Source organism: Homo sapiens, chromosome 3 (assembly GCF_000001405.40).
Source record: "Homo sapiens chromosome 3, GRCh38.p14 Primary Assembly".
In the NCBI taxonomy this organism is placed as follows: domain Eukaryota; kingdom Metazoa; phylum Chordata; class Mammalia; order Primates; family Hominidae; genus Homo; species Homo sapiens.
Genome location: NC_000003.12, coordinates 186717005 through 186744642, shown reverse-complemented (window position 1 = coordinate 186744642; position 27638 = coordinate 186717005). Strand labels below are relative to the sequence as shown.

At 41.8% G+C, this 27638-nt stretch overlaps 1 protein-coding gene across 3 annotated transcripts, besides 1 other annotated feature; it reads right to left on the bottom strand.

Moving 5' to 3' along the window:
* Window positions 233-27284, bottom strand: KNG1 (kininogen 1). 3 transcript variants are annotated; one of them, NM_000893.4, is made up of 11 exons: window positions 26906-27284; window positions 24428-24538; window positions 22122-22206; window positions 19383-19555; window positions 17299-17406; window positions 13014-13098; window positions 11969-12141; window positions 5437-5544; window positions 5229-5315; window positions 3044-3121; window positions 233-938 (listed from the first exon to the last, which is right to left on the bottom strand). In NM_000893.4, exons 1-11 carry the CDS (start codon window positions 27098-27100, stop codon window positions 858-860), a joined length of 1284 nt encoding a protein of 427 aa, NP_000884.1. In that variant the 5' UTR covers window positions 27101-27284; the 3' UTR covers window positions 233-857. The 3 variants fall into 3 exon arrangements, with proteins under 3 accessions (NP_000884.1, NP_001095886.1, NP_001159923.1); NM_001102416.3 differs by having other exon boundaries at window positions 233-3121; NM_001166451.2 differs by lacking the exon at window positions 17299-17406.
* Window positions 19271-19834: an enhancer, noted in NCBI's record as "NANOG hESC enhancer chr3:186442598-186443161 (GRCh37/hg19 assembly coordinates)". NCBI's record gives its function as "activates a minimal SCP1, AML or CMV promoter by ChIP-STARR-seq in naive H9 embryonic stem cells {active_cell/tissue: H9 hESC(naive)}" and the evidence as "EXISTENCE:reporter gene assay evidence [ECO:0000049][PMID:30033119]".

The window sequence follows — 27638 nt, the reverse complement described above, 5'->3', positions numbered from 1 at the left end:
CAAGTGATTCTCCTGCCTCAGCCTCTGGAGTAGCTGGGATTACAGGTGCGTGCCACCACGCCCGGCTAATTTTGTATTTTTATTAGACATGGAGTTTCGCCATGTGGCCAGGCTGGTCTCGAACTCCTGACGCCAGGTCATCCACCCACCTCGGCCTCCCAAAGTGCTGGGATTACAGGCGTGAGCCACCATGCCCAACCCAATAAGTGTTTTTATTACAGAAAATTTAAAATCTCCGTCACTTTTTACTTTATTGATTTTCAATTTGCTTCTTTACCTGGATCAGAAAGATAATTTCAAATTGTTTGGAGGTTGAGTATTTTCTGATAGTGAGAAGTTGGTAGACATTCTATTAACAGAGATGATTTTAAAAATATTTTTGGTAATTAACTGGACCATAAGAAAACAATACTAAACAAGCCAAATTACTCTTAGCTAAGGCTTGGAAATCTGGAGAAAGAGGAAGAAGAGAAGGAGAGAGTCCTTAGATTACTGGTAGAAGCATGACCTACTAACTCTTCTTTTAGCACCCGTGGTGGTAAGGAAGTCCCGCCTAAGGACTTCTGCCTTGGCTAGGGAATGTTCCAGTGTTGGGTTATGAGCCTCCATGGCAGAGCCACAGCACTGACTCTCTGACCAGCTGGAATTTGCTGCAGAATGGGTAGGGCTGAAAGGAGACCACTGTGAATTAGAGTTAGAACATCAAGACTGATCTTTATTTCACCCAGAGGCAGAGTGATAAAATGGCATTCTTCTCTATTTAAATTCTATCCCATCTTTCTTCTTGTCCTTCCTCTCAAGGTTGCTGGCAGAGGTGGTTGGGGCTATGTGCCTGGAGTGAAGATTCTGCCCATTGGTCAAGAGACCTCCCTCTCAGATGCTGGCTCTGCCCCTGCCTTTGGGGGTCGACCCTTGTACTCGCAGGACCTTAGGTGACTCTGTAAGTATAGTAAAACGCAGTTAATATGATGTTATCATTCAATCATTTTTAAAAAGTGGAGCAACCAGTTGACAAGGTAAGACTTTTTCCTGACATCTGTGGTTGTTTATTTAAAAGAACAGACAATATTTAAAATGAAAGACAAACTCAGAGGTTCAAATGCATCCAATAACTTGAAGCAGCAGTGACATATACATCCAAAGATGATTGTAGCTATTTAAAGCCATATCTTGTTTTTCTAGGCAAAAGTACAACATTGGTTATAAAGCATATACCTTCTTTGCACTATAGGGCAATGAAAGGCAATCCTATTATTCTGCTTCTCAAAAATCAATGGTCTTCAAAGTCATAGCAAAAAGACTATAAAGTGAGACTAGAGAGTAATTTCCTCATAAAATTTCGGAACAAACTTTGCATCACATTCCATAATATTCCCTTGTCAATTATTTAAAAAGTTTTATTAGCAAGCCTGCTTCTATATTGCTCCCTCTGCTTTTCATCCTTATCATTAAGCTCGGAGCTTCTGTAAACTAAGAATTACTCAATCTAGGCTCAGCAAAAATAAACAGAATACTTCTATATGAAAGCCTGTTGCAAAGAGTAGTTAATGAGTAAACAGAAATTTTTGACTTATGAGAAACACTCTCACTCAGAAAGGGCAGTGGGAGTATTTATTTGATATAACTAGCCCATTTTGGGAATAGAAAGTCAATTAATTTATGTCCCCCCTTTCCTCCCTTTGGCCAACCTGTCTTCTTTCTTGTTACTTTGAAATCTGGAAGTTTTTCTTATTATTTCTTTTTTTTTCTTTTTTTCTGAGACAGAATCTTGCTCTGATGCCCAGGCTGGAGCGCAGTGGCACGATCTCGGCTCACTGCAACCTCCGCCTCCCGGGTTCAAGCAATTCTCCAGCCTCAGCCTCCTTATTATTTCTATTCCATTAATAAGTTCAGCATTTAATCTCTTGACTTCCCTTATTTTCACACACATTCAAATACCAAGTGCCACAGTTTATTAAGAATGACAAGAATCTTTGTATGCAAATTCATGACATATGTTGTAAGGTACATATTTGTTATCAGAGAAGCCAATTGCAGCAGGCCATACGGCACATTAGTTTGTCTGTTTACTGTGCTAGTTTAGAAAACTTGGGAAGAAGATTCAGAAAAGAGTTAGAATTGTGGCACACAATTTTATGCAGTCCGTGGAGACTGATGGTGTCTCCACTGGGAGTCTCACCACTTCTCTTTAGACTGTTCCGAAGCTGCATGGTTTTTGGTGCATTATATCAGGATATTTTCATCTGGACAATGGAGAGAGGGATATTGATACTTTAATAAAGTATGAAAGAAATACCCATAGCCACTTAAATTAAGAAAGGCCATCAGTGAGATCGAAATAATAAGATTCTTTCATTTGTGTGGTTGGATTAATTTCACTAACTGACTTCCAGGGGCGTCCAGGACATTTTGGGGAGGTCGTGTCTGGAAAATCTGATATTGGGTTAAATGAAAGGCCATTTGGGTCTATCTGGATATCAGGGATCCAATCGTCATCACTCTGTATGGGAGCTGGTGATATAGGAGGCATCATAGTTGCAATGAGATCAGAGTCCTGAAAGTCAGAAAAGGTAACTGTTACACCTGGCTTGGCTAGGGAAGGGATGGGTGTTGGCCCTTCTGTCTTCTCTTGTGTCTGTGCAGAAGGTGTAGTACTGTCTTCAGAAGAGCTTGCCAAATGCTCTGTTTTCCAACCATTGTGCTTTCCATTCTTTTTGCCTTTATTTTTATGTTTTCCGTGGCCATGACCATGCTTATGCTTATGTCCATGGTCAAGGACATGGCCCCCTTGGTGTTCAAGATCATCATCAAGTTTGAACTTATGTCCATGACCAAGACCATGCTGTTGTTCGTGTCCATGGCCAAGGCCATGTCCTCTTTGGTGCCCATGCCCTTGGTCACGTTCATGTTTATGGCCATGGCCAAGATTATGTTTTCTTTGTTTTTCATGGCCCCAGTCATGTCTACGAGTATGCCCTTGTTCTTTTCCTGAATCCCGCTCTTCATCTTGTGCAGGTGCCATGGAAGTGTGGGGTGGACTTACAGTTGTTTCTTCTTTTATTTCCCCTATTCGTGATGATCGGAAAGGTGAAAAACCTGGAGGCCTTTTCATCAGTGAGATCTAAACAGAAAATATTAAGATGAATGTATTACTGCAAAAATCATGCTATTGATGATAGAAAAAAACACTGAGATCTGGCAATGTTATCTTAGTTTACAATGGGGGAGGTGTTTGCCAGATTTTAAATGCTATATTAACATTCCAGAAAGGATGAATAATTTTTTTTGTCTTTTGATTGATCTTAAAATTTGTGGACATTAATTATTGTTGTTAATAATACCATAAAATAGCCAGGCATGGTGGCTCACACCTGTAATCTCAGCACTTTGGGAGACCAAGGCGAGCAGATCACTTGAGGTCAGGAGTTTGAGACCAGCCTGGCCAACATGCTGAAACCCCATCTCTACTAAAAATACAAAAATTAGCTGGGCATGGTGGCACATGCCTGTAATCCCAGCTACTCAGGAGGCTGAGGCAGGAGAATTGCTTGAACCCAGGACGTGGAGGTTGCAGTGAGCTGAGATGGCGCCACTGCACTCCAGCCTAGGCGACAGTGACTCTGTCAAAAAAAACAAAAAACAAACAACAACAACAACAAAAAAAAAACAAAAAAACCCAGCCAAACAACAACAAAAAAAACTGTAAAATAAGCTGGAGTGTTTTTGCTTCATCTGGATGGTTGAACTAGCTAATCTCTAGGGTAGCTTCTGAGCCTATGTTTTTACTGAGCACAGTATTTAATTATTGATACTACTGTTATTACCACCATCACTGCTTTTATCCTAAAAGGCCCTAAGTGGCTTTATGAACTGAATATATAGGGAGCATGTATCCATGATCACTTTGTTGTGCTGAAGCACATTAGGACATATTCGCAAGCTTGAAATGCAACCTGAGGACAATGTTTGTGTTACACCATCTACATACCTACACATGACAAAAGACCAAATCAGAAAAGAGGGAAAAGAGGTAACCTGCTTCAAATATGTCGATCTGTGGATTAATTCTACCTACACTTTTGCTACCTGTGAGAATGTGTTAATTGGAAGCAGTGTCTGGTGATGCAAAGAACATGGTCATTGGAGTCCGGCCAGACCCTACTGGTAATCAGCATCGTGATGGAAAGGGTAGACTCTGAATTGACCAAGATTTGAATCCAAGTGCCATCAGCTTCACTTTTCCTTTCTGTAAAATAGAAATAATAACAGCACCTGCCTCACAGAGTTATAAGGAGGACTCGAAAATGTGGGTGAAACCTTCAGTATAGTGCCTGGGACAGAGGAAGCATTTGATAATGTCATTATTCACTCAGGACCTCAGAGTCTTTCTAATTTTTAGTGTCTCATCCTTGACAATAGGGAAAGTGTTACTACCTCCCAGAGTTCTTTTAAGACTTAAAAAAGAAAGATGACATCAACGAATGCTTTTCAAACTTGATTCATGCATATGAATCCCCTGGGGATCTGGTTAAAATTCGGTAGCTGTGAAGTGGGGTTTGCGAGTCTGAATTTTTCTTTTCTTTTTTTTTTTTTGAGACAAAGTTTCGCTCTTTGTTGCCCAGGCTGGAGTGCAGTGGCAGGATCTCGGCTCACTGCAACCTCCACCTCCTGGGTTCAAGGGATTCTCCTGCCTCAGCCCCCTGAGTAGCTGGGATTACAGGCGCCACCACACCCAGCTAATTGTTGTATTTTCAGTAGAGACAGGGTTTCACCATGTTGGCCAGGCTAGTCTCAAACTCCTGACCTCAGGTGATCTGCCTGCTTCAGCCTCCCAAAGTGCTGGGATAACAGGCGTGAGCCACCGCGCCCAGCCATGCATTTTTCACATGGTCCTTGCATGTCAGCAGAATGCAGTGGAGTGCTGTATCTGGCCTCAGGTACACCTGGCATAGCCAATGTTGCTCCCCCACAGCAGGACTGCAGTGCACTAGGAGAGAGTCTATAGAAGCTTCACTGAGACACTGACAATGTGTGAGAAGTGATCAGGAGGATTGTTACTCTTCTTTCTAGCCATTAAACAGAGATCAGCACAGAAGTGTGAGAGTTACTCCCCATTTAAAAAAGATAGCTCCCCAATTCATTTCAGTAATGGTTCATTTTCAGCCCCCAAATATGGATTTTCAGAATGAGCAGAACTGACCCCACGCTGACTGTAATTAGAATCATACCATTCCCAGTGGTTGACAGTTGACAGTAGGGTAAATTTTTTTCTCCCAGGGTACCACATAAACTTCAGCGTTGCAATCTAGGCTTTGCTATCCATGAAAACAGAAGTCGAAAGAGAGACAGTGTTATTCACGAGACATTTAAACAAATGATTCTAAAAACATCAAATAGGCTTCCAGTGAAAAAGTAGACAGGTGCATGACTACTCACGCCAAGTTTTTTGGTCTCACAGCTTTCGGTCAACTCTTCATTACTTTCCTTGGAACATGTGGTTTCCCTGGCCACGAAGTCAATAAAATATTTCTTGCCAGCCACCACCTGAAAAATTAATTAGTACAAAGTAAACGCTTAAAAATATTTGCATAATAAATCATTTATCTTTAAGAAATGTTAAGGGAGAATCTTGAAATTTTAATTGACCAACTTAGAGAGTTACATACAAAAAAGTACACGTTTGGCATTAAAGCTTGGCATGCATATTTAAAATATTTGGCTATCGGTTGGTCCCATTTCCTTTTCTAAGTGGGGGAAGAAATAAGCAAGCTATAATTTTCTTTATTTTTTTTTTTTGAGATGGAGTTTCGCTCTTGTTGCCCAGGCTGGAGTGCAGTGGCACGATCTCGGCTCACCACAACCTCCGCCTCCTGGATTCAAGCAATTCTCCTGCCTCAGCCTCCTGAGTAGCTGGGATTACAGTTGCCCACCTCCACGCCTGGCTAATTTTATATTTTTAGTAGAGATGGGGTTTCTCCATGTTGGTCAGGCTGGTCTCGAACTCCCGACCTCAGGTGATCCACCTGCCTCGGCCTCCCAAAGTGCTGGGATTACAGGCATGAGCCACCATGCCTGGCCTATAATTTTTATTTATTTATGTATTTATTTGAGTTTTATTGTCCAACAGCTGTTAAATTCACTAGTAATTCAAGGGCTCAAGTTGTAATATCTAATAATCTAACAGGAATAGGAAGAAAAACTTAAAATGTTTTTAAATATGCCTTATTGTCCTGCCAAATCTTGAATTGGTGAAATACTGAGTTAGTACTACTATAGAAATTATGTGGATTAAATTTTGTAATTAGAAAAATTATTTGGGGTTTTTATTGTTCTCTTACTATTTTTAATATTAAGAAATTATTTTAGGCTGGGCGTGGTGGTTCATGCCTGCAATTCCAGCACTTTGGGAGGCTGAGGCGGGTGGATCACTTAAGGCCAGCTGTTCAAGACCAATCTGACCAACGTGGTGAAACCCCACCTCTACTAAAAATATAAAAATTAGATGGGCTTTGTGATGCACACCTGTAATTTGACAGCTATTTGACAGGCTGAGGCAGGGGAGTTACCTGAACCCAGGAGGCGGAGGTTGCAGTGAGCTGAGGTCATGCCACTGCACTCCAGCCTGGGTGACAGAGTGAGACTCTGTCTCAAAAAGAAAAAAAAATTATTTTAATCTCTAGCAACAGTTTTAATCACTACTCAACACTATCTTCCATTAAATATTTTGTGGCCCAATTTCTCAACCAAATTATTTAGTATTAAATCATAGTATTTAAATGTGTTGGCCGGGAATAGTGGCTCCTGCCTGTAATTCCAGCACTTTGGGGGCCTGAGGCGGGCAGATCACCTGAGGTCAGGGGTTCGAGACCGTCCTGGCTAACATATAATGAATCCCTGTCTCTATTAAAAATACTAAAAATTAGCCGGACATGGTTGCAAGCATCTCTAATCCCGGCTACTTGGGAGGCTGAGGCAGGAGAATCGCTTGAACCTGGGTGGCAGAGGTTACAGTGAGCCAAGATCACGCCACTACACTCAAGCCTGGGTGACAGAGTGAGACTCTGTTTCGGGAAACAAAACAAAACAAAAACAAACAAACAAAAAACAACTAAACAAATAAATAAATATTCACCAAAACCCAGGATGAGGAAGGCCTTTCTTAGGTGAAAAGCAGAGGAAAGAAATCTGAAGGAAGGGGAAAATACTAAAACTTGACTAGAGAAAAATGAAAACTGCTTCTGAAAAATCACAATAAGCAAAGTAGAAAGGCAAGCTGGGAAAACTATGATATAGAATCAATGTCTGTATGAATATAAAGCCCAACACTAAAAATGGACAAAAGCCATGAGCAGGTATTTCAGAGAAGTTAAAACGGTCATTAAGCCTAAAAAAAAGTTTAACTTCATTAATAAACAAAAACATGCACATTAAAAAAGCAATGAGACATCATTGTTAGCCTTCCATGCAGGCAAAGATGAAAACAAAAATTGATGATACGTGGCATTGGCCAGGCATAGGAATCAAGCAGCCTCAGTCACTGCTGGTAGGAAGAGAATTCAAATTAAGATCCTCAACTGGTGTCTTTTTTCTTTTATTTTTTGAGACGGAGTCTCACTCTGTCACCCAGGCTGGAGTGCAGTGACACACACTGCAACCTCCGCCTCCTAAATTCAAGTGATTCTCCTGCCTCAGCGCCCCCAAGTAGCTGAGATTACGGGCAAGTGTCACCACACCTGGCTAATTTTTGTGTTTTTTGTAGAGATGAGGTTTCACCATGTTGGCTGGGCTGGTCCCAAACTCCTGACCTCAGGTGATCCGCCCGCCTCGGCCCCCCAAAGTGCTGGGATTACAGGCATGAGCTACCACGCCTGGCCTCAACTGGTGTCTTATACCCAGGTGATGTGAATGTAAATTGGCATCATTGCAAATATTTGGTGATTCTGGCAATTTGCATCAAGTCTTATATATCTACATATTATTTGACATTCCTAGGACTTTGTCAAAGGAAAAATTTCTGCATGTGCACACACAGATCTTGGAAGTTTATTCATCTCAGCAGAGGCAGACAGGAGCATCAACAGCCTTGGGGACAGCAGCAGTGGTGGTAGGGCAAAATAAAACTTATATGAAACTGTAATCACTAATGTGTGAAAATGGAAGATTCAGGAAGTGTTTCATATCTGAAATATGAACCCAACGTGGAATCAACATGCATCCAAACAGGACTAAATGTGCAAACCCAAGGCAAGATTAAAACTATAAATATTTAGCAATTTGGCAAATTGGTCATTTTGGAGACTAGCTTTTAGCAAATTCATCATATGTTTAATTGATTTCCAGTAAATTGGCTGCTTCCATCAAGGCTGCCTTGGGTGACTATGTCCAAGCAACCAAATTGCTCTCTTTAAATGCAAAAATTAGTAAAGATTTATCTCTCTAAAGTAAGTTTGAAATTCTTGCAATATTCAGATTGACTTGGCAGCTATCTGATGGGTTACCTCTTTGTGTCCCCCTGACATCCTTAATGTAGACACATATGCATACTAGAATGTTGATTCATTAATCCACAGAGAAAACTGTAACTACTAAGAAGACTAGATATTCATGCTTGAGAATGAGTGGTTCTGTTTTTGATGGCAAACCTCTGACATACAATACATGGTGGCCTATTCCTACAACATTCAGAATAAAGAATAAGGGAGCTGGGTGCATTGGTGTGCGCCTGTAATCCCAGCTACTTGGGAGGTTGAGATGGGCACATTGCTTGCTCCCAGGAGTTCGAGTCCAGCCTGGGCATCATAGTGAGACCCCCATCTCTCTCTCTTTTTGTTTGCTCTGTTGCCCAAAGGGTCTTGTTCTATCACCTAGGCTAGAGTGCAGTGGCACGATCACAGCTCACTGCAGTCTCGACCTCCCAGTCTCAAGCAATCCTCCTACTTCAGCTTCCCAAAGTAGTTGGGACTACAAGCACATACCACCATACCCAGCTAATTTTTTAATTCTTTTTTTTTTTTATTATTTTTTGAGATGGAGTTTCACTCTTGTCACCCAGGCTGGAGTGCAATGGCATGATCTTTGCTCACTGCAACCTCCGCCTCCCGAGTTTAAGTGATTCTCCTGCCTCAGCCTCCCGAGTAGCTGGGATTATAGGCACCCACCACCACACCCAGCTGATTTTTGTATTTTTAGTAGAGATGGTTTTTCACCATGTTGGTCAGGCTGGTCTCGAACTCCTGACCTCAGGTGATCCACCTGCCTCGGCCTCCCAAAGTGCTGGGATTACAGGCATGAGCCACCACGCCTGGCCTTTAATTCTTTTTTTGTAGAGACAGGGTCTTGCTATGTTGCTCCAGCTGGTCTCGCTCCTGGGCTCAAGTGATCCTCCTGTCTCTGCCTCCCAAAGTACTGGGATCACAGGCATGAGCTACCATGTCTGGCCCGCGTCTCTCTTAAAAAACAACAACGAAAAAAGAATAAAATAATTTCACAAGAAAGCAGAAATATAAAGTGAGAAGTTAAAGCTGAAAAAAGCATGAATAGCATAGATTGGCGTCCCTTTCAAGTAAACCTAACGTGGTCATATGGCAATGAAATCAGAGAGAGAGGGTGGTTGTGTCTGGGATAGAAACAAGTGCTCAAGTAGCAGAGAGATCAAAGTATCAGTTTTGATTTACTTTAATCTAGTTTGTTTACTTTTTTTCAGTTACAAAAGTAATACAGAAAATTAGAAAGATTAAAGTAGTGTTATTCCATCACCTAAAAATCACCACTATGACTATGAGGCATTCGTTTTTTTGTTTGTTTCCAGGTGGAGTCTGACTCTGTCGCCCAGGCTGAAGTGCAGTGGCACAATCTCGGCTCACTGCAACCTCCGCCTCCCGGGTCCAAGCCATTCTTGTGCCTTAGCCTCCTGAGTAGCTGGGATTGAAGGTGTGCACCACTACACCCTGCTAATTTTGGAATTTTTATTAGGTTGGTGCAAAAGTAATTGTGATTTTGCCATTACTTTGGCAAAAACCACAACTACTTTTGCACCAACCTAATATTATAGATGGGGTTTCACCATGTTGCCCAGGCTGGTCTCAAACTCCTGACCTCAAGCAATCCACCCACTTCGGCCTCCCAAAGTGCTGGGATTACAGGCGTGAGCCACTTTTTTTTCCCACATTATTTTCTGTACTTTAAAATAACACAACTGATAACATCATGTATATTCAATTTTATGCCTCCTTTTTTTCACTGAATATTATAACACAAGACATTCCCCATATCAAGAGCTCCGCACAAAGATGCTTTTAAGTTGCTGCTTAACACTCTATTCTGAGGATATGCCAGACATGATCTAATCATTCTCATATTAATCATTTTGACAGTTTACTATTTTTGCTGTTATACTTAAAACTGCAGTGAATATCATTGTATATAAAGACTCCTACTTTAGATTCCTAGAAATTCAATTCTGAGCCAAAAGTATGAACTTTTTAGTGAGAATTTTTTCACCAGATTATGAGGATTATGTTGGCTTGCTGTAACAATTTGGCTCTATTTTGATTATTTTTATTTAGCTTGTATTTAGGGAAGCCAATTTTTAGTCTCTAAAATAGGGGTCTGTCCATAATGACATCAGTCAGAGACTATTGGAGTTGCTAGACATGTAGGCTCTTCTCTTTTTTTGAGAAGGAGTTTTGCTCTTGTTGCCCAGGCTGGAGTGCAATGACACGGTCTCGGCTCATTGCAACCTCCGCCTCCCGGGTTCAAGTGATTCTCCTGCCTCAGCCTTCCGAGTAGCTGGGATTACAGGCATGTACCACCATACCTGGCTAGTTTTGTATTTTTAGTAGAGATGAGGTTTCTCTATGTTGGTCAGGCTGGTCTCGAACTCCTGACCTCAGGTGATCTGCCTGCCTCAGCCTCCCAAAGTGCTGGGATTATAGGCATGAGGCACTCTGCCCGGCAAAATGTAGGCTCTTCTAATACAGTCACTCATTTTACAGACGGGGCCACAAAGGCTTAGAACGTTTGAATGACCACCCAGAGTGATCTGGGATGTGAGCGGCAGATGCTATGGTGGAACTGAGTCTCCTGACTCCCAGAAGACACTCCTGTCAGTCTTCTATTGATAGGGCATGAAAGGAGAGATGAATCCCCAGAGGGTACATTTGCAGGAGAGCGGGATCCCAGGCAGAGAGAACAGTAGGTGAAAGACATGGAGGCAAGAAAGCGTGGAGCCTTGGCAATGATGGATTGACTGATATGGCTGAGCCCAAGACATTATGTGATGTTATAATGAGAGATGAGTCCAGAAAGACATAGCGTAAGTCTTCCTGGCCCTAGCCCTGAATTTTATTAATTATATCATGGTTGCTATTGTATTTATTTATTTATTTATTTATTTATTTAGACAGAGTCTCGCTCTGTTGCCAGGCTGGAGTGCAGTGGCGCAATCTCGGCTCACTGCAACCTCTGCCTCCCAGGTTCAAGCGATTCTCCTGCCTCAGCCTCTGGAGTAGCTGGGACTACAGGTGTGCACCACCACACCCGGCTAATTTTTGTATTTTTAGTAGAGACAGGGTTTCACCATGTTGGCCAGGATGGTCTTGATCTCTTGACCTTGTGATCCACCCGCCTTGGCCTCCCAAAGTGCTGGTATTGCAGGTGTGAGCCACCGCGCCCAGCTGCTATTGTATTTATATAGCATTTTAGAGTTTGAAAAAGTGATTTGACATATATTAACTTATTTGATCCTCACCTCAGTCCTTTACATATAGAAAACAGAGAGAATGTTGTAAAATACTTGTCCGGGATGAAGCATACAGGGAGATTGGCACTTAATTTACCAAATCTAATGCACCAAATCACATTATCAAATGTATGGTTTCCCAATCCAGAGCCAAGATCAGTGGCAAAATTAGTCAGCAATTTGCACATAGACTATAGTGTTACTGCTTTTGTAGTATAGTTTACACACCTGTACTCTTGCTTTTTTCACATTGTCAATCTTGAAATAGAAAGTTGCGTTATTCTCTGCATTAAGCTTTGTGATGGTGTGAGTCAGTGTCTCCTCCAGCTCTGGGCTGTTGGTGGGTATATCTCTGGGGCAGCCCACGCAAATCTTGGTAGGTGGTTGTACAAAATCCTTCCCTGAAAGGATCAGGTTTTAAGTCAACATGTACACTGAAGTAGCAGCCTGGCCTAGCATCCCTCCTGCACAAGAACCAGCATCCACATGTATAAGGGGCTACATGGGAGCCCAGGCCCAGTAGTGAGTGGGGGAAGGTTGTCTGTCTGACTTTCACTTCCTGCCTCTCTTCTTTTCTCCTCCTCAGAGCACAGTGTACTTAGGGAAACATTTTCAATAGGAAAGTGCGAGTAACTCCAACAAAACGCTACACTTTTCCTGAATTTTTGCATTTTTGATGGAAACTGTAAAAAGCAATGCTTAATTTAAAGGAGTGACTCTCATGAGAAAAGTTTAAGTGCTATGGTTCTGATGAACAGGCAGCTTCAGACTACTCATGGAACGCATACAAACGTTTTCCAACTATGAGAAAAGCACACCCTTGTTATAAGAAACACTGACCTGACCACAAACTCACACTATCTCCATTTCTTCCCATTATAACATGCAGGAAAAAACCACCTTAATTGAAAGGGTTTTGTTCTGAGTGCTTAGAAATAAAATACAGGTCTCTTCAACTTACAACATCTGACTTAAGGACAACTTACAGAGAAGAGAGACCAGATGGCATTGTACCCAAAGGCCAACTTTGCCCAGGGGTCATACATTTCCCTTCTGTCTTCATAAACCATTCTGACAAGAACAGTCTGAGCTGCAGCACAACTGGGCAGCGAAGGGGTACAGTGTTCTCATCAAGGGGTGCATCTGTGTCTGCAGGTTACACAGACTTTGGAGTATATCACGGGAACCAAAACCCAACTTATAGGAAAAGACTCAGCCAGTTGTCTGGGACCACTATTCCTCTATTGCGGTGCCAACATGTGTTATTCCTTACCTGGATAAATGTCACAGTTCTGTGAGAAGGAAGCAATTCGTAGCTGAATATCGATGTATGCATTATCTGTACATTCACCGGTATCCTGGTTTTTAAAAAGCATATAAGTGCTCAGTTAAAAACATTTTTTAGAGTCTTAAAAGTAAACAACTAGTAAAATTGAAGAATAGGACGTGTACTTTCCAAATCATTGCATAGAAAAAAAAGAAAGAAGCAAAACATAGTCTTACTGCAAAAGAGATACTAAGGTAATAGTATCAATAGCATCAACAAATACATGCATATACATGAGCACATGGAAAGCAGGAAGATCTAGTACAGAAATAACAGCCATGTAAGTAAAAAGGTAAATTTCTAAAAAAATAAGGTAAGACTTTCACACTGTTAAAACACCAAATCAATGTATTACAGTTTCAAGAATCATCTTATGATAAAAACAATGTATAAAGCTTAAAAATAACAGATGAACAAAGCTACGTGAGACAAATATAAACGTAGCAGGAACTACAGTATTAGTAATATTGGACAAAGTAAAATTCACGAGAACAAAACACTCATTCCTAAAGGTAGTAAAAATGATCATTTTATTTTTCAAAAGCATAGACCAGAAGGCATGGAATCAAAATACCTAAAGTAGAAAAAATTACACGTGAATAGAAATGGATAGAAATAATATGGTGGGAAAATTTAGTATGCAATTACAAATCTAAGACAGGGCAAGTGAATAAAAAATAAACAAGAACATAGAAGATTTGAATAACATATTAAAGATTTATTTAAATGGTATTTTCATATGCTACATATGATTTTAAATGATACTTTCATAAGTATCATACTAATTTGTATGTATTTGTGTGTGTGTATATATATATGTGTATATATATATGTGTATATATATATGTGTGTGTGTGTGTATATATATATATATATATATATATATATATATTTTTTTTTTTTTTTTTTTTTTTTTTTTTGTGATGGAGTCTCTCTTTGTCGCCAAGGCTGGAGTGCAGTGGCGCAATCTCAGCTCACTGCAACCTCTGCCTCCTGGATTCAAGTGATTCTCCTGCCTCAGCCTCCCAAGTGTCTGGGATTACAGGCGTCTGCCACCACACCCGGCTAATTTTTTTGTATTTTTAGTAGAGATGAGGTTTTGCCATGTTGGCCAGGCTGATCTCGAACTCCTGATCTCAAGTGATCCACCCACCAAAATGCTGGGATTACAGGCATGAGCTACCGTGCCCGGCCAGTATCATACAAATATTTTTAATTGTTTTTACACCAGGTCACAAAAAGATCCAATACATTTTACAAAGCAGAAACAATACAGGGTATGTTCTTTCACCTCAGCACCAAAAAGAAAAAATAATCTCTAAAAATTCATAACATGTTTAAACAAACAAAAACAATATACTTGGAAATATAAACATGCTTGCCAATAAAGTTAGGGTCTTTCTTGGATAAGGAAAAAAAAAACAAAATAACAAAAATGAGAATTCCATATAATGTTATTAGAACAGCATTCTAAGTTAATTTTTGACTCGACATGATTTCATAATTTAAAAACAGAGGGAGAAAAACAAATAGAACAAACAAATAGAACAAACAAATAGAAAGACCTATGCCTAGGTCTCCAGAAGTGAGGGGAAAAAAGAATAATAAACAAACATAGCCAGGTGCTGTGTGATAAGTCACTTTGGGAGGCTGAGGCAGGCGGATCACCTGAGGTTGGGAGTTCGAGACCAGCCTGACCAACATGGAGAAACCTCATCTCTACTAAAAATACAAAACTAGCCGGCCGTGGTGGCACATGCCTGTAATCCCAGCTACTCGGGAAGCTGAGGCAGGAGAATCACTTGAACCCGGGAGGCGGAGGTTGCAGTGAGCCAAGATCGCGCTATTGCACTCCAGCCTGGGCAACAAGACCAAAACTCAGTCTCAAAAAAAAAAAGAAAAGCCTACATTACATTTCTAGCAACTCCAATAGTCTCTGACTGAATTTGCCTATTCTAGGTGTTTTATATAAGTGGAATCATACAATATTTTTTGTGTGTGTCTGGCTTATTTCACTTAACATAATATTTTCAAGCTTCATCCACATTGTAGCATGTATCAGAATTTCATTCTTTTTAAAGGGTGAACAGTGTTTCATTGTGTATATATAATAGCACATTTTGTTTATCCATTCACCTATTGATAGACACTTGGGTTGTTTTGACTTTCTGGCTATTATGAATTTTGCTGCTATAGAAATTCATGTATAAACACGTGTTTGAATATGCATTTCCAGTTCTTTTGGGCATATACCTAAGAGTGCAACTTCTGGGTCACATAGTAATTCTATAGTTAAGTTTTTCAGAAATTGCCAAATTATTTTCTATAATGGCTGCAGCATTTTACAGTCCTACCAGCAATGTACAAAAGTTCTAATTTCTCCATGCCCTTTCTAATACTTGTTATTTTATGAACAAAAAGAGGTTCTTTATATATTCTGCATGTTAAACTCTTATCAGATACATGATTTGCAAATATTTTCTCTCATTCTGTGGGTTGTATTTTTACTCTCTTGATAGTGTCCTTTTTACTTTTTTCTCCAATTATAAAATAAATGCATGCTCAATTAGAAAACTCGGGAAATATCAAAAACTTCCAAAAAATATAAAGAATCAGAAAAAGCGGCCGGATGCAGTGGCTTACACCTGTAATACCAGCACTTTGGAAGGCCAAGGTGGGTGGATCACCTGAGATCAAGAATTCGAAAACAGCCTGGCCAACGTGGCAAAACCCCCATCTGTACCCAAAATACAAAAATTAGCCTGGCGTTGCAGCGGGCGCCTGTAATCCCAGCTACTCAGGGAGGCTGAGGCATGAGAATTGCTTAAACCTGGGAGGCAGAGGTTGCAGTGAGCCGAGATCGCACCACTGCACTCCAGCCAAGGTGACAGAGCAAGACCTCTTCTCAAAAAAGAAAAAGCACCCACAATTCCAACTGAAAGTTAACTACATTCTATATTTTGTCATAATTTGTTTTCCATCACTTTTTGTATTTACATTTATTTTACATATTTAAATAAATCCGTATGTATAGTTTTGTATCCCACTTTTTTTGTTTTTTACTTAACATTGTAACCGTTTTACTATGTCACTAAAAACTAAAAATTTTTGATAGCTGTATCATATTCTACTGTATGGATATACTGTAATTTACTTAACCATTCTGTAATGTTGCATAAACTATTTGTTTACAATATTTTTCTATTAAAAAACAACTGACATTAACATCTTATGGTCTGGATTTCCCATATAAATGAATTAGAAGCAGAATTACTAGATCAAAGGACTTGCAGCATTTCCTTGGCTAAAGCACAGTCTTCTGCTCAAATGCAAACATCCCTGGGCACATATCATGTCTTCGCCATCTTAACATTCGCTAGCTACTACTACCTTGAGATATACCATTTTAATATAATTTTGGTTCAGATAACAAGATACGATGCTAAGAAGGACCACTAAGGGCTAGAGACTCAGGGTCTGTTTATTAAAGATAAAGGTAGGGAAGGGAAGATGAGAAAACAAACAGAGAAAAGTTTGACATGAAGAATAACCCTGGGTAGAGCAAGGGAACACCATATGGGCATTGAGCACCTGGGGAAGAAAAGGAAATGGGAAAGTGTGGAGACATAACAAAGATACAGTTGACCGTTCAAGCATTTTATCTATTCGTAGTCCCTGGTTATGCTCTGTAAATACTTATTGCTGGCCAGGCACGGTGGCTCATGCCTGTAATACCAGCACTTTAGGAGGCCAAGGTGGGCGGATCACCTGAGGTCAGGAGTTCGAGACCACTCTGGCTAACACGGTAAAACCCTGTCTCTACTATAAATACAAAAATTAGCCATGCGTGGTGGTTGGCGCCTGTAGTCCTAGCTACTTGGGAGGCTGAGGCAGGAGAATAGCTTGAACATGCGAGGTGGAGGCTGCAGTGAGATGAGATCACACCACTGTGCTCCAGCCTGGGGAACAGATTGAGATCCTGTCTCAAAAAATAAATAAAATAAAATAAAGTTATAAAAAAATACTTATTGCTAGCTGTGCAGATTCTTTGGCCAGTTAGGTAAGGCAGCTTGACCAGTGACGTGAGCTTTAGTCTTCCCAAGTAAATGTGAATATGAATTGCTGAATGTCATCTAAACTTTTCGTGACAGTCTTCCCACCCAGCTTGATAGTTACCACAAAATGTAAACAAAATGCTAAGAACTTTATCATTAAATTTTTGCCTACTTACACCATTCCAAAGGGACTTGCAGTCTGGAGTTAAGAACAGAAAATTCTCTTTGGAACAATTCGTTTGCACAATTGAGTAGGTAATTCGAAAGTTCAATCCAGCCACCACCTGAAACAATTTCAGATTGAATATTTAAAGGGCAGTTTAAACATTATTCGCTGTGGGATATGAATGTTATGAGGAGTTTAGAAAACAGTGTGGCAATATAATAAGTGCCCAAGAAATATAAAATATTATTATTACTAGGCAAAAAAATGCTGAATAAACATTGAGCACCTTAAGAGTCTCATATCTCTCACACAAACACACACACACACACACACATACACCGCTAGCCATCTGAAAATGACAAGCAATATATATATTTTTCTATTTTTCAGCCAGTTTTGGAACATGGATTTCCTTAAGTGAATCCTAACAATATTTCCTCTGCCAGGCTGCAGAGAGAAATGTTTACTGAATTTCATAAAATAATAATGCCCTTCTAGACGGATAAAGAAAACTTTAGAGGGGAGTGGTCTTTACTGTTGGGTCCTCAGGCTCCCAGGTTACCAAGTAGTAAGATTTCTTCTACTTTATTCTGGGCCTCTCCCACCCTGATAGCACTATACGGACATAATTGAGTAAAGCATGCTCGCATGAAAGCAAGTTGTAAGGTTTATTAAATGCAGAGAATGTTACTAACCAAAGGGAATCACTCATAATAAGAGGCTGAAATACAAGAGACCCAGTCAACTATCAGAAAAGTCTGGGAGGGGCGGGCGTGGTGGCTCATGCCTGTAATCCCAGCACTTTGGGAGGCCGAGACGGGAGGAACACCTGAGGTCAGGAATTTAAGACCAGCCTGGCCGACATGGGGAAACCTTGTCTCTACCAAAAATACAAAAATTAGCCGGGCGTGGTGGTGGGTGCCTGTAATCCCAGTTACTTGGGATACTGAGGCAGGAGATCTCTTAAACTTGGGAGGTGGAAGTTGCAGTGAACCAAGATGGCACCACTGCACTCCAGCCTCCAGCCTGGGCAACAGAACAAGACTCTTCCTCAAAAAACAAAAAAAAAAAAAAAAAAAAGAAGAAAAGTCTGGGTGTACTGAATCATTAAGAAGATTTGTAGCTGAGTGCAGTGGCTCAGGCCTGTAATCCCAGCACTTTGCGAGGCCGAGGTGGGAGGATGACTTGAGGTTGGGAGTTTGAGACCACCCGCTTGGCCACCATGGTGAAACCTCGTCTCTACTAAAAATACAAAAATTAGCAAGACATGGTGATGAGCGCCTGTAATCCCAGTTCCTTGGGAGGCTGAGGCAGGAGAATTGCTTGAACCTGGGAGGCAGAGGTTGCAGTGAGCCAAGATCGCGCCACTGCTCCAGCCTAGGCAACAGAGCGAGACTGTCAAAAAAAAAAAATTACGGATATATACTTTTTTTTTTCTGATGATATGGGAACTGTAACTTAGTGGGTACCCAGAAAGCCATGCCGACCATTTTAGACACAATTTAATATTTTGGAGCTGTGTTTAAGTCATGATGGCTAGGTGATAATATAGTTTTCTTAAAATCCTAAGGCCAGGAGATTGAGACCATCCTGGCTAACATGGTGAAACCCCGCCTCTACTAAAAATAATAATAATAAAAAAAATTAGCCAGTGTGGTGGCGGGCGCCTGTAGTCCCAGCTACTCAGGAGGCTGAGGCAGGAGAATGGCCTGAACCCAGGAGGCGGAGCTTGCAGTGAGCCGAGATCGCGCCACTGCACTCCAGCCTGGGCGACAGAGAGAGACTCTGTCTCAAAAAAAAAAAAAAAAAAATCCTAAGGCCGGTATGACTTTTCCTTTTCACTGTCTCTAGGAAGAGCCTGTAATGACGATTACCCATTTGTTAAAATCAAACATCAAAGGAAGGGGGTCTGATTCGACATCTTTTCTCACTTTACATATTGCACTATCCGACTCACTTTGACTAAGGAGAAAGCTCTTCGCTTCCTGTGCTAGTCACATGAAAACACCACCAGCCATGCAATCATACATTTTAAATGTAAAGATCTAACAAATTTTAGTAATACTGTGCTACTTAGAGAATTAAAGAACAAACCTGTCTTTGGGCCCGTTTTACTTCATTAAGCATGAAGAGGGAGGAATGTTGAGTGTTGTTGTTAAAGTACTGAATGCCGTGTCTCAGAATGGGCTCCAGGTCTGGGCTCTGCGTTGATATAGGATGCACACAGCCGAGGCAGTCGTACTGGGCTGTCACCACAGGGCCCTCGGCTTAACAAAGAGCAGACAAAAACACAGCATTAATGATCGCAATCAGCATTCGCATACACTGCCCTAAACAAAGAAGAGGCTGGGCGTGGTGGCTCATGCCTGTAAACCCAGCACTTTGGGAGGCTGAGGCGGGCAGATCGCCTGAGGTCAGGAGTTCGAGACCAGCCTGACTAACATGGTGAAACCCCATCTCTCCTAAAAATACAAAATTACAAAATTTAAAATACAAAAATTAGCTGAATGTGATAGTCCCAGCTACTCGGGGGGCTGAGGCTGAGGCAGGAGAATCACTTGAACTCAGGAGACGGAGGTTGCAGTGAGCCGAGATCATGCGACTGCACTCCAGCCTGGGCGACAGAGCAAGACTGTGTCTCAAAAGAAAAAAAAAAAGAAAGAAAAACAATATTTGCAAACCATGCATCCCACAAGGGACTAACATCCAGCATATACAAGGAATTCAATCAACTCACCAATAAAAAAACCAAGTAATCCCATTAAAAAGTGGGCAAATGATCTCAGTAGGCATTTCTCAAAAGACGACATACAAATGGCCAACAGATATGTGAAAAAATGCCCAGTATCACTAAGCATTAGGGAAATGCAAATCAAAACCATTATGAGATGAGATATCATCTTACCCCAGTTAGAATGGCTATTATTAAAAAGAGTTTGTATTAAATTATCAAGTAATGTTCATAACAGATAGCCCTAACCTACTGGTCAATAGAGGCAAAGTCCATAAAAAGGGAACGTAGCTGCAGAGTGAGTGGCACACCTGGAGGGACCCCCTGGGAGCCTGGACTTCTTCACCACAGAGCTCTCGCTGCCTGCCATGTAAGCGGTAAACACAGCCAGGAGGATATGGAGAAAAGAGAACTCTAATGCACTGTTGGTAAGAATGTAAATTAGTGCAACCACTATGGAAAATAGTGCGGAGATTCCTCAAAAAATGAAAACACCAAATACCATATATCCAGTAGTCCAGCTACTGGGCATCTACCCAGAGGAAAGTAAATCAGCCTATCAAAGGGGTACTTCCACTCCCAGGTTTGTTGCAGCAGTATTCACAATAGCAAAGATATGAAATCAACTTAAATGTCCATCAAAAGGTGAATGAATAAAGAAAATGTGGGGGACCAGGCACAGTGGCTCACACCTGTAATCCCAGCACTTTGGGAGGCCGAGGCGGGTGGATCACCTGAGGTCAGGAGTTCGAGACCAGCCTGGCCAACATGGTGAAACCCCATCTCTACTAAAAACACAAAAATTATCCGGGCGTGGTGGCGATGCCCATAATCCCAGCTATTCAGGAGGCTGAGGCTGAGGCTGGAGAATTGCTTGAACCCGGGAGGTTGCAGTGAGCCTAGATCGTGCCACTGCACCCCAGCCTGGGCGACAGTGCGAGACTCTGTCTCAAAATGAAAAAAAAAAAGAAAGAAATTGTGGTATATACTCACAATGAAATAGTATTTGGCCGTAAACAAAGAATTGAAATCATATCATTTAAAGCCACATGGACAGAACTAGAGGTCGTTAAGTGAAACAACTCAAGCACAGAAAGACAAACTTCACATTGTTCTCACTCACATGTGGAAGCTAAAACCATCACATGGAGATAGAGAAGAGAAGAGAATGACAGATACCAGAGGCTGAGCGGGGTAAGCGGGTAGAAGGGGGAAATGAAGAGGTTGGTGAATAGGTACTGAATTATAGTTAGATAGAAGAAATACGTTCTAATGTTACATAGCAGACTAGAGTGTCTATAGTTAGCAACAATATATTGTATATTTCAAAGTAGCTAAAAGAGAGGACTTGAAATATTACCAATTCATAGAAATGATAACTATTCCAGGTGATGGATACCCCAAATACCCTGACTTAATCATTACACGTTCAATGCATGTAAAAAACACTCACATGTACCTCATAAATATGTAAAATATTATGTATCAGTAAAAGAAAAAAAGAAAAAGAAGATAATACATGTAAGGTGCTTTGAGTCATGGCTGGGACATAAGGACTCAATATATCTTAGCTATTACTTTTATCCTGATTGTTGCTAATATGTTATTATGATTAATATGTTAGTATGTTATTATGATTGTACCTCCAGGCATATCATCTCATTTCAGCCTCACAACAGTCCTGTGAAGTGGGAAGTACTCTTACCTCCCTTTTCTAGACAAGGAAAAGGAGAGGCAAGAAGGCAAGGAGCTCTGAAAGATTCCAGGCCAGGTCTGCCCTCAAAGCCTATGCGCTCCTCAATCTGGGATGCTGCCTGCAATGGAGGGCAGGTCTTATGTCTTCTGGTCCTTCTGTTGAGCCCTTGCACACACTGGGTACAATGCAGCACACGGGAAGAGTTGGGATAGTCCTAAGGGGATGATGGTCACAAGCCTGGCTCAACCTCCGGGCTCTGCCGCTCCACCCAATGCTCCCTAACTCTGCAAATGGCTTTACTACTGCCACCCTCTGGGAGCAAGCAGAGCCTGGTCAAGATTGTGTTCCTGGCTCACAGAAATGGTTAATTTCCCACCAGGGCAGTGCCAGAGGATAAACCAGCCACCTGGAGTAATCTGGCAGGTCTGGGTAGCCACGGAGAATTTCGTACTGCTCCTCTTCCCCACGGTTGCCGTGCATTCTCCAGTGGCCTAAAAAGAAAAGAAAGAGATCATTTATCTTAATCTTTCAGATGGGAAAGTCTACCTAATACTGTTGCTAAATGTGGCTTTCCTTAAAAAGCAAAACAAAACAAAACTTGTGAAGATTTTACCAAAAGAGTTTTGAGACATGAGAATAAATTTTTTTAATAGCCTAATGATTACTTTATATAAGCCACTGATATTCATGAGATGCTGGAGGAAAGACAGTGTAAATGATGAGGTTTTAAAGCTTGAGTCTTTGTTTTGAGCCCTGGAGGGTATTTCTTTTTTCTTTTGTTTCCTATTTTTTTTTTTTTTTTTTTTTTTTGAGACAGAGTGTTGCTTTTGTTACCCAGGCTGGAGTGCAACAGTGCGATCTCTCGGTTCACTGCAACCTCTGCCTCCCAGATTCAAGTGATTCTGCTGCCTCAGCCTCCCAAGTAGCTGGGATTACATGCACGTGCCACCACACCCAGCTAATTTTGTATTTTTGGTAGAGACAGGGTTTCACTACGTTGGTCAGGCTGGTCTCAAACTCCTGACCTCAAATGATCCAATCACCTCGGCCTCCCAAAGTGTTACGATTACAGGTGTGAGCCACTGCACCTGGCTGAGCTCTGGAGCTATTTCTTTCTAACCAAGATGGACGCAGAGGTCTAGAACCAGCCTGCTAAACACTCCTCTTATCTACCACTCAACTTCAGTGAGTTAATACTGTTCACATAAACTTCAGTTTAACTTAATAGAAAGGGCAAGGACCTTGGCATCAAAATGTTATTCAGTTCCAGCCTTGTCACTTGCTAGCTGTTAACTCTGTCATGTCCCCTTGACTCTTGGAGTCTCAGTTTACCCGTCTTGTAGAAGATGGGATACATCTATCTCTTAGAGTTGTTGTGAACAGTATGTGTGCAAACACACACAAAATGCCTACTAGAGGCCCGCCACACAGCAGGCACTTAATAATAGGCAGCTGTTTAATTGTTATTGTTGAACAGTGTTTTTGTTTTGTTTTGTCTTTTCATTCTTCAGTCATATCCATTGGATTCTAAGTGACAGATACTATTCCATCAGGATAAAGCACACCTCCCTTTGTCCACACAGCCCCTAGAAGCAGGCAGTACAGAGCACAGCAGCTACTTATCCCCACCTTACAGATGAGATGACTGAGAAGGGAGAACCAGCACTGCAAAATCCTAGACTCCTGACTTGGAGTTCAGTACTCTTTGGTAATGGCAGATGACTGGCAGTCATCTTTTATGTTCTGACATAAAAGAAGGGAATCAATCCATGAAAAGAGAGGCTTGCTTCTGAGGCAGATACTGTCTGAAATCTTTCTTAATTAAAGCAAAACAACCATGGCTGGGCGTGGTGGCTCACGCCTGTAATCCCAGCACTTTGAGAGGCTGAGGCAGGCAGATCACCAGGTCAGGAGATTGAGACCATCCTGGCTAACACGGTGAAACCCGGTCTCTACTAAAAACACAAAAAATTAGCCAGGCGTGGTGGTGGGTGCCTGTAGTCCCAGCTACTCAGGAGGCTGAGGCAGGACAATGGCGTGAACCTGGAAGGCAGAGCTTGCAGTGAGCCGAGATCGCGCCACTGCACTCCAGCCTGAGCGACAGAGCGAGACTCTGGCTCAAAAAAAAAAAAAAAAAAAAAAAGCAAAACAACAACCAGCTATGGTGTGCCAGGCCTATATGTTAGGCATTTGGTTAAGATAGCCATTGTTATCAAAGTTATTTGCATAATTCATCTGATTTCATCCTCCAACAACCTGATGAGGTCAATATTATCTCCCATATACAGCAGAAAGTGCCAGTTCTGAGAGGTCACAGCTCCCCCGCTATCACACAGCTAATGGAAGGCAGAGTCAAGATTTGCACTTAACGTTGTGCAATGGAAGCACCCACCCCCTCCCCTCGCCAGCTCTTTGGCTTGGCCCAAATGTCAATTTGTTATCTCTCTGGAGTCTGAGCCACATGTTCTGGCTGGACACTAGAGCCCCCTTCTCATGGAAAGGCTTTCTCCATGTTTAACTGCTGGCTTCTCCATGATTTTTCTGTCTATACAAGAACACAGATATAAAGCATCTGACTTTTCTACACATTGGAATGTTTATTTGCATTTCTCATAAACAGGCTCACCAGTAGCCATCATTTCTGCATCAGTAAAAAAATCTGGCAGGGTCAACGGAGAAAACAGAAGGCCCAAGAATGGCCAATACACTTACTGCTTTTGCAGCATCCTTGTACTCACAGTCCTGCCAGGTTTTGCCACTTTGAACAGGACAATCCCCCTCCTTGATTTCGTACTTGAAGGAATAAAACGTGTCAGAGCCAACCTGAAAAGCAGCCAAAGATACTTAGGGTTCATCCAACTGACCCAACAGCAAATAATTCTAGTGGGTTCCGGTAAAGTTAGGAATATTGATCTTTGACTTGAGAGCAAAGCATTCACTTAAAATATATTTATATTTCTATCATAAACATTTATGTGAAAGAATGTTTATAATATATTCACAATGTACTTTTAAAGGTTACAAAGCAGTATGCATAGTATTAGCCCATTTTTGTCAAAACTGGTTTATATATAAATCTATGTCTTTTAAAAGTCTGGAAAGATACACAGCAAGCTGTTAAAATGTTTGTCTGTCAGTGGTGAGATTATAATTATCTTTCACTTTCTTCTTCAAGCAAACATTTCTTTTTTTTTTTTTTGAGATGGAGTCTCGCTCTGTCGCCCAGGCTGGAGTGCAGTGGCGTGATCTCGGCTCACTGCAAGCTCTGCCTCCCGGGTTCACGCCATTCTCCTGCCTCAGCCTCCAGAGTAGCTGGGACTACAGGCGCCCTCCACCACGCCTGGCTACTTTTTTGTATTTTTTAGTAGAGACTGAGTTTCACCATGGTCTCGATCTCCTGACTTCGTGATCCCCCCGCCTTGGCCTCCCAAAGTGCTGGGATTACAGGCATGAGCCACCGCGCCCGGCCCAAGCAAACATTTCTAAGTGGTCTTTTTCCCCTAATGAACGTATATGACTTTTACAAATTAGAAAAAGCAAACAAGAAAACCTTAAACAAATGTTAACAGTTATCTCTGTATGGTGGAATTAATTATGGGTGATTTTAGTACTTTTATTTGGTTTATTTTGTTTCCTACTTTTTCTTTTTTAAACAGCTTTATTGAGATATAATTTACATGCCATAAAATTTACCCACTAAAGGCATACAATTTAATGTTTTTTAGTATATTTACAACCATACCCACAATCTATTGGGTACCACACCACCAATAAACTGTTGCTTGAGATCACCATGAAGCAGAATTTCTCACATGACTGTACTAGATTATGAAAGAAAATGGCTCGATTTTACTTTCAGAAAAAATAACATGTCCACTGTGTTTATTTTCCTTTATCCCCATGTTGTCACATGGCTAGTTTTTTTTTTTCTGCTAAAGTAACCAATTGCTTGACATTCCCAGAGATATAGTCTTTTATAGTGAAATTTGTTTAAACATACTCTTGAAAGATTGGTATTTCTTTGAACCATGCATCCTGCCAGGATTTGTCTCCTGCTGGAGTGCATCATTGCAATAATATCAAAAACTAACTAAAACGTTGCTGTTAAACCCAGTACATTCAGCCATACAGACTTCTGTCTAATTCCGTAGAATCACATTAACCTCATTCCTCACTCCTCTTAGACATGCCCCATGAAGTACCCCCTCCCATTAAAGGTTTGGAGTTCTATAGTTTTTAGCCTAGGGCCAGAGACCCAGTGAATTCTTTTGCTGCAGTCTAACTAAATTCCTAAATTCTCCCTCTCTACTTGGTCCTGTTGAGATTTCTCCATCTACTTTTGTTTCATTTCACCCTAGATTCTACTTCTCTGATCATCCAGGAAGCCAACCTGCCTGAGGACGAGTCATACTCTGTCCTCCCACCCCAGGCCAGAGAGTGGTATCTGTCTTTCCACAAGTTGTAAGCTTCTACCTTTGATGATCACATATTTGGTAGTGCGTGATGGTGGTGGGTGGTGGGTGGCGGTGGTGGTGGGTGGTGAGGGGTGGTAGTGGTGGTGGGTGGTGGTGGGTGGTGGTGGTGGTGGGTGGTGGGTGGTGGTGGGTGGTGGTGGTGGTGGGTGGTGGGTGGTAGGTGGTGGGTGATGGTGGTGGGTGGTGGGTGGTGGGTGGTGGTGGGTGGTGGGTGATGGTGGTGGGTGGTGGGTGGTGGTGGTTGGGTGGTGGTGGTGGATGGTGGTGGTGGTGGGTGATGGTGGTGGGTGGTGGGTGGCGGTGGTGGTGGGTGGTGAGGGGTGGTAGTGGTGGTGGGTGGTGGTTGGTGGTGGTGGATGGTGGTGGTTGGTGGTGGTGGGTGGTGGGTGGTGGGTGATGGTGGTGGGTGATGGTGGCGAGTGGTGGTGGGTGGTGGGTGATGGTGGTGGGTGGTGGTGGGTGATGATGGTGGGTGGTGGTGGGTGGTGGGTGGTGGGTGATGGTGGTGGGTGGTGGTGGGTGGTGGGTGGTGGTGGATGGTGGTGGTGGTGGTGGGTGGTGGTGGTGGTTGTGGTGGTGGTGGTGGGTGATGGTGGTGGGTGGTGGGTGGTGGTGGTGGGTGCTGGTGGTGGTATGTGTGTGTGTGTGTGAGGCCTGGACTCCTAGTGATAGTACAAATCCCAAGTGACTTCAAGGTTAAACACAATTCACTCACCGTCTTAGTGGCTTCAGTTATGCGGTACAATACAAACTGGTTGTTACTTTGGTTTTGACTGTTATATTTCTTCAGAGCAGCATCCACAGCTTTAAATAAATCCTTGTCATTGCAGTCAATTTCCTCGGACTGTGATTCCTGGGTTAAACTTAGTAGCAGCCTGGAGCAGAGGAAAAGGATGGTAATTAGTTTCATGATCTAACAATCTCCCTCTAGGAGCTGAGGGATGGTTTCACCAAGAATCAAGAGCCAACTGGGATACTGAATTTGACAATCTCCAGCCTCTTGTTTCTTCTGTCCTCCTCTCTGCCTCAGAACTCAGGGCACTGGTTGGATTCCTGCTGCCAGACGCTAGTTGCCTTGTTCCCAAAGGTTAAATGGCTCTGCTGGGTTATCCAAACATATTTACAGCTAGAACATTGCAACACTGGGGTTGTTAACCTGCTCATTTGCATTTGAAAATCACGTGGCAGCACAGTGCATATTTCCAGGTGATTATACAACTTTATGTAGCAAATCAGAGCAGAATCTGATGAAGGAGGGGAAACAAGTGCCTACTAACTCGGTTATTCCCCTGTGACTTTTGCAAAGCCATTTTTGAAGGTCACTACATGGGTAAACAATGCAAGAATGAGTACAATGTGCAGACACATTTCATACAAAGTTTCTTTGCAGGATACCTACCTGCATAGAAGCAGACTGCTGTTAATTCTATTACATGCCTAAGAAGCTC